This window comes from Homo sapiens, chromosome 4 (genome assembly GCF_000001405.40).
Source record: "Homo sapiens chromosome 4, GRCh38.p14 Primary Assembly".
NCBI lineage: Eukaryota > Metazoa > Chordata > Mammalia > Primates > Hominidae > Homo > Homo sapiens.
This window is the reverse complement of record NC_000004.12, coordinates 144,184,295-144,196,360: the sequence shown is the minus strand read 5'-3', so window position 1 is coordinate 144,196,360 and position 12,066 is coordinate 144,184,295. Positions and strand designations below refer to the sequence as shown.

Sequence of the window (12,066 nt, the reverse complement as noted above, 5' to 3'; positions counted from 1 at the left end):
GTCACAACAATTTAACAAGTCTCTAGGAAGTTCCAAACTTTCCCTCATCTTCCTATCTTCCTCTGAGCCCTCCAAACTGTTCCAACCTCTGCCCATTACCCAGTTCTAAAGTTGCTTCCATATTTTCAGACATCTTTATAGCAAAACCTCACCCCAGTACCAACTTTCTGTATTAGTCTGTTCTTACATTGCTGTAAAGAACTACCTGAGATGGGGTAATTTATAAAGAAAAGTTTAATTGACTCTCAGTTCTGTAGGCTGTATAGGAAGCACAGCTGGAGAGCCGTCAGAAAACTTTCAGTCATGGTGAAAGGTGAAGGGGAAGCAGGTACATCTTCACTTGCCAGAGCAGGAGAGAGGGAACAGAAGGTGCTACACACTTTTAAACAACCAGATCTCGTGAGAACTCATTCACTATCACAAGAACAGAAAGGGGGAAATCCGCTTCCAAAATTCAATCACTTCCCAACAGGCTCCTCCTCCAACACTGGGGATCACAATTCCACATGAGATTTGGGAGGGGACACAAATCCAAACTATATCTACTGGGAAACCAAAAACTTCACATGACCCACTTTATTGTGATATTCACATTATTGTGGTGGTCTGGAATGGAACCTACAGTATCTCTGAGGTATGCCTGCAGTATGTTCAGGCACCCAGAGTCAGCAATCAGCTCACAAAGTTGTCCTATTCTCTGTGGCCCTGGTTCCCCAGGGTGATCCCTACATATCCTGAGAAGCGTGAAGGTAATAGAGAAGACTAGGGTTTTCAGAGCCTGTGGATGTGCATCAGAGGTGGCCCCAGATTCTTTTGTGCCAGCTCAGCTCTACAAATCCTATATACAACTGTGAAGTGAAGAGATAGCCCTACAAATGATGGATTCAGTTTCTGTCACCCTGTGAAATGAAAATATAAGACATAAATTTTATTGAACCATAGTAAAATTAAGAAAACAACCTTTCTTGTACAACCAAGTGTATGCACTGAGATTCATTCTCACTCCTTATGCCAGCAAGTATTACTGTGTTTTTTTTACCAAAAGTATAATTCAGGTTAATCTTCCAGTGTTACCAGTAGTCTGATCACCAATATTATTAGTTACTTAATAATGTATCTTTAATCCTCCACCACTGTCAGCTTAACAAATACTGAACTCCTTGGCATAGACTTTTATCACCACCCGGTCCTACCTACATATGCAGCCCATCTCATAACACCCTCTAGTAAAACTCCCCACACCATTACACTTCTCCTCACTCCCACTCATGCAATATACTTTCTGACTTCAAGGACTTTTCTGTGCTATTTCCCTTCCTAGAATGTCCTTCTTCCTTTCCCAAAACTGCACTGTGTGATCCTAGAGCATCTAACAAACTCCTATTCATCCATCAAGAACCAGCACCAAAATTATCTCATTTGTAAAAGTTTTACTATTACGCCCAGGCAAAGAAGAGTTAGTTTAGCTATTCCTTTGTTTGTGTCTCCATAGCATATTTTTTATATTTCAGTTCTAACCCTTCTCATAAAGCATTGTAATTATTTATTTATATGTCTCTCCCTCTTAAAATTCTGGGCTCCATAAGGGCAATGCATTCATCAAGGTTGGTATGATGATTGTTAAAATACTGGCTCCCAATGAATCATGCCTTTCTGTAATCCTCTCCCACATTGACTTAAAGTTTTGCTATATGATTTGGTTTGGGACAAATTATTGCCAATAGAACACTGACAAAAACAAGAAATGGGGAAAGGATTCCCTATTTAATAAATGGTGCTAGGAAAACTGGCTAGCCATATGTAGAAAGCTGAAACTGGATCCCTTCCTTACACCTTATACAAAAATTAATTCAAGATGGATCAGACTTAAATGTTAGACCTACAACCATAAAAACCCTAGAAGAAAACCTAGGCAGTACCATTCAGGACATGGGCAAGGACTTCATGTCTAAAACACCAAAAGCAATGGCAACAAAAGCCAAAATTGACAAATGGGATCTAATTAAACTAAAGAGCTTCTGCACAGCAAAAGAAACTATCATCAGAGTGAACAGGCAACCTACAGAATGGGAGAAAATTTTTGCAATCTACACATCTGACAAAGGCTAATATCCAGAATCTACAAAGAACTCAAACAAATTTACAAGAAAAAAAAACAACCCCATCAAAAAGTGGGCAAAGGATATGAACAGACACTTCTCAAAAGAAGACATTTATGCAGCCAACAGACACATGAAAAAATGCTCATCATCACTGGTGATCAGAGAAATGCAAATCAAAACCACAATGAGATATGATCTCACACCAGTTAGAATGGCGATCATTAAAAAGTCAGGAAACAACAGGTGCTGAAGAGGATGTGGAGAAATAGGAACACTTTTACACTGTTGGTGGGACTGTAAACTAGTTCAACCATTGTGGAAGTCAGTGTGGCGATTCTTCAAGGATCTAGAACTAGAAGCACCATTTGACCCAGCCATCCCATTACTGGGTATATACCCAAAGGATTATAAATCATGCTGCTATAAAGACACATGCACACATATGTTTATTGCGGCACTATTCACAATAGCAAAGACTTGGAATCAACCCAAATGTCCATCAATGATAGACTGGATTAAGAAAATGTGGCACATATACACCATGGAATACTATGCGGCCATAAAAAAGGATGAGTTCATGTCCTTTGCAGGGACATGGATGAAGCTGGAAACCATCATTCTCAGCAAACTATCCCAAGGACAAAAAACCAAACACCGCATGTTCTCACTCATAGGTGGGAATTGAACAATGAGAACACTTGGACACAGGAAGGGAAACATCACACACTGGGGCCTGTCATGGGGTTGGGGGAGCGGGAAGGGATAGCATCAGGAGATATACCTGATGTAAATGATGAGTTAATGGGCGCAGCACAGCAACATGGCACATGTATACATATGTAACAAACCTGCACGTTGTGCACATGAACTTAAAGTACAATAAAAAAATGCTTATGAATAGAAGCTTGCCTTTCTTCTTGAAAAAGTCTTGGCTAGCATCCTGGAGACACATGGCTCTGCCAATTCTTCATCCGGGACCAGCCAGCTTCCATATGACTTGCCAACTGACCATAAACCCATGAGTGAGCCTGGCCAGTGCCTAGAGGAGAAAAGATGACCCATTTCTGTGGAGCCCTGTCTAAATTGCTAACACACAGATTAGTTTTAGTCTTATGTCACTATGTTTAAGGTTATTCATCATAGAGCTAGACTGATACAGTTGACTAAATGCTTTAACAAGCATTTAGAGCATCTTAGTGGCTTAACACAATGACATTTATGTCTTGTTAAGTCACAGTCCAATGTAAGTTCATGGTGGTTGGAAGAATCATTCAGGAACCCAGGCTCATTTCTTCTTGAGATTCCTCTCTCTTCTAAGTCCTTGGAGTCTTTTATCTTTTCTTTTCTTTTTCTTTTTTTTTTTTTTTTTTTTTTGAGATGGGGTCTCGATCTGTCACCCAGGCTGGAGTGCAGTGGCTCAACAACCTTGGCTCACTGCAACCTCTGCCTCCCAGGTTTAAGCGATTCTTCTGCTTCAGCCTCCCGAGTAGCTGGGACTACAGGCGTGTGCCACCACGCCAGTCTAATTTTTGTATTTTAAATAGAGACGGGGGTTCACCATATTGGACAGGCTGGTCTCAAACTCCAGACCTCGTGATTCACCCACCTCAGCCTCCCAAAGTGCTGGGATTACAGGCGTGAGCCACTGCGCCCATCTGGTCCCTGAAGACTTATTCATTTCTGCAGCAGATGGGAAACAGAAAGAGAATCATACACAGGATATATTTGTAGGGTGGTTCTGAAGGAGGCATGTAACATAGCCACCTTCATTCTGCTAGCCAGAACATGATAAAGGAGACTGGAAAATGCCATCCATCTGTGTGCCCTGAAAAAGGAGAACATATTAGTAAGGACTAACAGTCACTGCCAAAGGCAGAAATGTTTGATTGCACTGTGTATGTTCTCCAGTGCCTAGCAAAATGCCTGGTTTATAATAAATTCTTAGCAGATGCTTATGGAATGAGTGGGTGAAATAGTGATGTTGTAGTGTCTATTTAAGATTAGGTGTAAGAATTAAGCATGAAGGACATTTATCTCATCCAAGCTCATCTCTTAAAATCTTTGAAGCATGAACTTTATGGTAGAGTGCTCACCAATTTAAAAACCAAGGCAACAAATGGATGTTGATGTTTTGTTTTATCTGAATTCCTAATACTGAGATGATGACATAATAGTTTTTTCTTACCCTGAAATTTGTAAGAATTTAAAAATTCAAATTTAAAAGAACAAATTGAAAGTATATTTAACATTGTCTTCAATTCCTCAAATCTTCATATATGTATGTGTATACATATATATACACATTATATTTTAAATATATATAACATTAGTGCACTATCCAAGTTGCCAATAACTTCAGCACTATCACATGAAATATGAGTAACATAGTTAGAAATTCATACAGTATTATCATACAATATAATTTATACTGTAATGTATGATTTATAAGTACACTGTTGAAAAGCCAAAAAGTTCTTATTCTGTTATTAATCATTTAAATTTCAGAGCACTTTCATTCTCCTATCAGGTATAAAATTCCAGAATTCTTCAATTCTCTATTATAACATATACATTAGAAGTATCTTTCATTTTTCTCTACTTACTCATCAGTCAAATAAATTTACATCAAGCTTCCTTAATCAAACTTCCAAGAATAGTCCCTTCTTTATTTTATTTTACCTGTGAAATGGGAACGTATGTAAACAGACTGTAAGGTATAGTCTCTGAACACCAAGCATCTAGGCAGAGAAGATGCAGTGGGGTCCAGGTAGCCTTTAACCCACTGAGCCACAGGGTTGGACATGAGGGGACAACCGGAAGCCTCCCTTTATGCACTAATATCATCTTCATTGTTTGCCAATTATAGTTCATTAATATGTTTTCAGGTAAACAGTGTTTAATTTCTCCAAGCATTCTAATGTGTAATGCACACAAAAGGATTGAGTTAATTATTATCACCCTGACCTGAAAGAGTATCTTAGATTATCAAGCCTACTAGCAGGAGCTTTAGAGAAAGGGATAGCTTATAGGAATATTTTGGTGAGAAAGAGAAGAGGTGAGATGTGTCACAGGAGTGTGCATTGCAAGTCATGGCCATGAAGGGTCACCAGAGAGCAGGAGGAAGACCCTGGACACCCGAAGGGTGGCACCAGGACCCCTATGATCCTGGCTATGCCATCCTCCAGAGAAAATAAAACACTAAGAATCACAGGGGCAAGTACAAAGACCCTAGAGATCACAAGCTAATTGGGCAAGTGGAAGGCAGAATATGGGGACAGTGCTGTTGGTTGAGAACAAGGCATATGTGGAATAGAGACAAGAAGTAAAGCAAAGAGTAGGACACAGTATGAGTGGGGTTGGTTAGACTTATTCATTGACATACTTATTCTTTGGTTCAGATTGTAGACTTTTTTTTAGAGGCAGGGTTTTGCTCTGTCCCCCAGGGAAGTTAAGTGGCATGATCATGGCTTCACTGCAGCCTCAAACTCCTGGACTCAAGCATCCTCTTGCATCAGCCTCCCGAGTAGTTGGGACTACAAGTGCGCACCACAACATCCCCCTAATTTTTTAATGTTTTTAGAGACTAGGACTTACTGTGTTGCCCAGGCTGGTCTCAACCTTTATCCTCCTGTCTCAGCCTCCCAAAGTGCTGGGATTACAGGCATAAGCCACAGCACCCAGCAAATCCTAGACTTTTTCCCCCCAACATTGCCCTTAAATGTTTCCAGGGTATACTTTCTGAGCTTAAATTTAGACCATACCTATAATATTAACTTGTCAATTCAGTGAAGGGAAAGTAACCCAGTTAAATCAAGGAAAAGATTTTTTTACAGCATGTATCTGTGGCTTGTACAAAGTTTTTACTTTTGACTGGCTATTTTGATGTTGTTAGAAATAGTGAGGATCCACTTCTAGAAATACTGGATATTAGAAACTGTTTTGATGACAGTGGTATCACTCTGAAGTTAGAGATATAGCCATTCCCTGGTTTCCTCACTATTCAATTCACTTGCAAAAGGACTCTGCAGAACAGATTAACAGTACATTGTTCTGTAATTCTCTGGTTACTCTAACAGGGTCGGGGTAAATTTGTAAAGAAATGCAAACCAGCTTGAGGCAGCACTGCCCAATTTGATCAAAACTAAATGCAACCATCGTGGGTTCAAGTTTGGTGGTCCAAAACATTGGAATGTTTCAAAGACATCTAAATGCAATGCCAGTGTTGTTTTATTTGGTTTGGGGTTTGCTATCCCTTTATGTTAAACAGGAGTTCAGAAAAATTGCACAAAAGACTCACTGTCTGTTTCTATGAATGCCTACATACTCAGTAGCCAATGTTACTGATAAATGAAAACATCAAATATACATGAACAAAGTCTTTACTCACCTATCTCCTGACTAAGAGGAAGCCGAGGATGAAGCACACTTGATTTTTATTTAGCATCCTACCTAACAATAGAAATTCTCTCTTACGAAGTAGATTCTGAGCCTCATATTCACCTGTATTCTCCTGCAGTGTCCCATGTAGTACCTGTGTCAAGTCCTTCTTGTATCAAGCCTCTCTTTGAGGCTAGACCGGAAGTTGCATTTAACACTATCCAGATCTTCCTAAGGAAGATACAGGAATTATACACTCTCTTTGAACCCTGGAGAGAGATATTACACTATAATACAGGAGGAGGAGAAATTTAGCTCAGAATCCAGATCTGCAAATTATACATTTGTGATTCACCAAAACATATTCTTCTAATGAACTATTTTTAAATGTTTTGTTTGTTTAGCCCATATAGCAAAATACAGTCTTGTCAGTCAAGACAGACTTCAAACTGCTTCAGCCCGTTAGAAACGTTTCATTAATAACATGTGTTTACCACTGAGAGAAGTAGGCTTCCTGTGCTAAGATTTTGTTTGTCAGTCATTCATTGGAACCCCACTGTTAATAGCATACAATGGTTTGTGGTTATGCCACAATTTAACCCAGGTTTAAAAATACAAACTAGAGCCCTGGTGGTCTAGAAGGAACAGGGAGTAAGTGAAGGATTGGCTCAACCTGCTTTGTGGACTAGTGGCTTGGAATGCTTTACAAACTAATCAAATTTATTGACTATGATCCTGAAAAAAAAAATCACGTGCTGGGGTGTGCATCCTGGTTTGACTGCAGTTTGGTGAGGTTCTGAATGTCTGAAGGGGGAAACAAGGCAATTATTTGGCATTCCTTTCCCCAAAGACAAATTAGAAACAGATATCACAGAATATGAGACTTTTCTTCAGCAGCCTAATAAGAAAAAGAGATTTTCCTCTATAGTTGTAATTCTATTGTATGTTAAGTATAAGTAAACAGAATTAGTATTGCACTAGGCTGAATAGGTAATCATAATTCTATTACGATTCTTCAGTGTCTGACAGAGTAACATTTCGATCTCTCATTTTTACATGATTTTTAGTTTAGAATTTCTTAATGCAAAATCATGATTTTGCATGATTCTTAGAAATATTTCCTATGATACTTTTGTTTTAGTAGGACTTTGCGTATAACCAAGTTTTTCTATAACTATGATGAAAACATAAAAAGGGCACAAATGTATTTTGGGTAATTCAGCAGTTTGGGCATCTAGGGTTCTAAATACAGCAGACTGAAAAAAGGGTTTTGCATGTAATATCTGTTTACCTTAATAGAACTCTCTGAAGAGGACCTGGGATTATACATGCTAGCTGTAGTTCATGTATAGCATACATACAACCTGAGGAGAAAAATTTACATTTTACACAGGACTGTGTGTAATGTTCATTTAAAATACAATAAAACATAGTATCTACAATAATCGGTAGAATGTGCCTTTGTGTTTAATAAGCACCTCAGTTGTGCAGAAGCAAAATGAAGCACAAATAGTGGCTATATAATTTGTTTATGAAATCTCATAGTCATAGAAATAACACCAGGATCCTGAACATTTGTGAAATTGCATATCACGTGCCTAAAACCAATTTTCCAGTTGCTTACAATTTATACTTTTAAAATATTTGTAGTTCAAAATAGAATAGATCACATTTAGAGAAAATTTAACCCATAAAAAATTATGTTAGGTAGTCATTATCTCTTTACACATTCCTGGAGGCAGATTTAGTAATTTAAAACATTTTAATGGTTTAAGTTTGTTTTCCTTTCTTTACATCACTTTTTATTTAAGAACATATCTAGAGAAAAAAACTTTACTATTGAAAGAGCCATTTTCAAAGTTCCAAGTACTTAGAAAGTGAAGAGACAACATCTGTTAAACTCATATATTACATTTTCAAAAGCTAAAGTTGGCATTCACTTAGTCCACAAGTATACACTGTGCATATACTCTACGTGCAGCAATATGTCAGGGACAACGAAGGCCGTAAAGATGAATAAAAACAGACCTACCTTCGAGGAGCTAGTATACAAACAATTAACGGTTCTTAAATTCTTCAGTGTCTGACAGAGTAACATTTCAAACTCTCATTTTTACATGGTTCTTAATTTAGAATTTCTTAATACAAAATCATGATTTTGCATGATTCTTAGAAATATTTCCTATGATACTTTTGTTTTAGTAGGACTTCGCATATAACCAAGTTTTTCTATAATTAACTATGATGAAAACATAAAAAGGGCACAACTGTATTTTGGGTAATTGGACCTTTCTCCAGGAAACAGTGGAGACAACACAGCTAGATGATGAACCTGGGTGGAGGCTGCTGGAGGTGCTAAGCAGCAAAAGGACCCTTGACATCCAGGCTGAAGGAAAAGCTTCCAGAAACTGTGTCCTCTGCTTAAACTCTGACCAGACCACAAATACAGTCCACTTTAATCTTTACTTCTAGCTGGTCTACCATAAAACAGCACTTTGAGGTTGTGAAATGTTTAATAATATGACAGAAATTTATTTTGTCTTAATGAGGAAAATAATCATTTCACCAAATCACTTTAGAGCCAAGATTTTTTAAAATATGCCTCATTTACAAGATTTCACATAGTAAATTCAATTTGCCGAGGAATCTCCATTCATTCACGTTATTACACAGAGAGCTGTAATTTACTTTGTTTGCTTGTTTGCTTTTTCCAACATAAATCTTACACTAGATTTTTAATTCTAGCATTAAATATTAGATATTAAAATAATGCTCTTTCATGCTCTGATTTTCTTTAAATAAAAATATCACTGATTACAGACTCTTACAACTCAGGGCCTGAGAAAATTCTTAAAATAATACCTTTCACTGCCATCCTCACCGTGCTGTTGAAAACTGAACATTGATTTTCTGATTTATTATTTTCAGAACACTGATGGTTTCCTGAAGGAACCTGTGGCTAGTGTCAATTTTTCATGGATATTATATAGTACTCTTATTGTTCTAACCATTTTGGTAATATTTTCTCATTGTTTCAATCAACAGATGGTAATTTCTACAACACTCTGAGGGTAACTATTGTTTTTCCAACACTACAATTACAAAGGGAAAGTTGAAAAAATATATTAAGGCTTCTAGGAGTTTGATTCAAACAGCTCAATAGTGCTGGGAATCCCAATCTTTCTGTTCATGGAACTGAATCACCTTTTAAAGCTTAATCTAACATTGTTCTTACCTTATAGCTTTGCCTAAATAAACTAAAAACATCCGTTCATCAAAAGACATTAAAAGAATGAAAGGGCAAACTACAAAGTGGGAAATTTTATATATATATATATATATATATATATATATATATACACATACATATAATGTTACATGTAGAGTACCAAAAACACTCTTATCTAGCACATATAAAGAACTCCTGCAAATCAATAGGAAAAATGCAGGCAACTCAATAGAGGAATAGGTAAAATACTTGAACAGGTACTTCATAAAGAAAGACATTCAAATGGCCAATAAACATATTTCCATATTCTCAAGTTCATTAGCCATCAAGGAAATGCAAATTAAACCACAGTGAAATACCACTAAACAACCTCTAGTCTGGCTAAAACAATAAAGACAAAAAATTTCAAGTGTTGGCAAAGATACAAGGCAACTCAAATCTTTATGCACAACTGGTAGTGATGTGGATTGATACAACCATGTTGGAAAACTGGCAGTATCAACGAATCTTTCTTTAGGTATATATACATATATATTCAACAAAAATACATATTTGAGTTTACCAAAAGACTTAACTGGAATGTTTATAGCAGCACTTTTGTAATAGCTCCAAACAAAACTGGAAACTATCAAGATGTCTACCAACAGTAGAGTGTATAAATAAACTGTGCCATATTTGCTCAATAGATTTTATAATACATCTGTGAGAATGAACAGTCTACAAGCATATGCAACAATAGGATAAATCTTGCAAACAAAATATTCAACAAAAAATGTCAGGCACAAAAGAATACCTAATGTATTCATGTAAATTACACAAAGAGTAATTTGCTTAATTAATTTATAAAATTGAGCTATACTGTTAGAAATCAAAATAATGACTAATCCTTTGACTAGAAAGGAGCCTAGGAGGGTTTCTAGGGTGTTGGTTATGTTTGTTTGCTTGTTTGTTTTGTCTGTTTGTTTTATATGGTTGTCAGTTTCAGAGATCTGTTCAGTTTGTGAAAAATTCATCGAGGTGTGCAAAAGATAAATATACCTTTCAATATGTATTTTTAGATCCATTAGTTTTTATAATAACTTTGTATCTTCATATTGCTTAGGAAAATAGTTGTGATATATCTTGTATGTATCAAAGTAATAATCATGAAAGACGAGCTTGATCACTAACAAAATGAAACATACAGATGTCTAGTTCATTTCTTCTTTAGCCAGCTTGCTTCCTCCCTTTCTTGCTTTTATTTATTTACTTAGTGAAAGGGAGCCATTAAACATGCTTTGTCTAATTTTTGGAAACAACATTGTACCAACTCTCCTAGGGAGATAGTGTAGTTAGCTAGACCTTCATATACTGGCTGCTGTTTAAAACCAAGGCAGAAGTGAAAGTAGATCCTTGTGGTGAAGGATATGACAAAGGAGAAGCAGGGCTGAAATATAAATATTTTCTACCTGTTTCTACTCCTTGACCAGGAGTAGAAACCTTCCACACCTTTATTCCATAAAAAATACTGAGCATCTTAACACAGAGAATCTACCAAATTAATGCTTTCTTATTCAATGGACCTACTTAATCTACTCTGCACAAAGATAAGTAATAATGCACTGAAAGGCAAGGCATAAAAAATTAATATACTTTTTTTCAAGTTTTATAACAAAAGCAATTGTGCAGAACATCTACTACTCTATCATTATTTAACCTGACAATGGGTTTCATGAAAACCCAAATAGCTAAGTCCAATGTCACAATCACATTTCAGGGAAAGACATTCATATGTCCTTAATCCCTGGAGGCACTGACAGAATGTCGTGGTGATGAGTGTTGATTTGGCGTGATTAAAGATTTCATACTACCTTTAAATGTCTTTATCCACAAATTCCTCTCACTTGGCTCTTTTGAGTGGTTAAGGAGAGACCTGTTTGTATATCCAAAAGTCAAAATAATAGTACTGATTTTTCAAAAAAAGATCTTACTCTTTTAAGAATAAACCTAGAAATTAAAAATTAGGAAAATAAAAAGTATCTTTGACATTTCTTGTAGTCCAAAATGGCTACAAACATCCTCTTCTTCTAAAATGTTACTCAGCTATTGCATAAATGTAGGTGACACTAACACTAAGACAAACCCCAAAATTGCAGTGGCTTGACATAATAAGAGTTTATTTTTCACTTATTTGAAATGTTGGTGTTCCAGCTAGGGGTGGTGACTGATTTTCTTCCACGTTGTGATTCAGAGACCTAGGATCCTTCCATTAGATCCACCACCACAGGACCTGATCTCCATTATCCACAATAAGCTGCAGGAAAGGGAAACAGTGTAAAAGACATATCTTCTGCTTAAAAGCCACCCCTGAAATGAACC

At 36.7% G+C, this 12,066-nt stretch overlaps 1 long non-coding RNA gene across 1 annotated transcript in view; it reads right to left on the bottom strand.

The window, feature by feature from the left end:
- Window positions 1-11,847: 11,847 nt before the first annotated feature.
- The window catches only part of LOC105377460 (uncharacterized), a 106,316-nt gene continuing 106,097 nt past the window's right edge, over window positions 11,848-12,066 (bottom strand). Inside the window, exon 11 of the long non-coding RNA XR_002959803.2 lies at window positions 11,848-12,001. This is a non-coding gene — a long non-coding RNA (uncharacterized LOC105377460). The remainder of the gene's footprint in view (window positions 12,002-12,066) is intronic.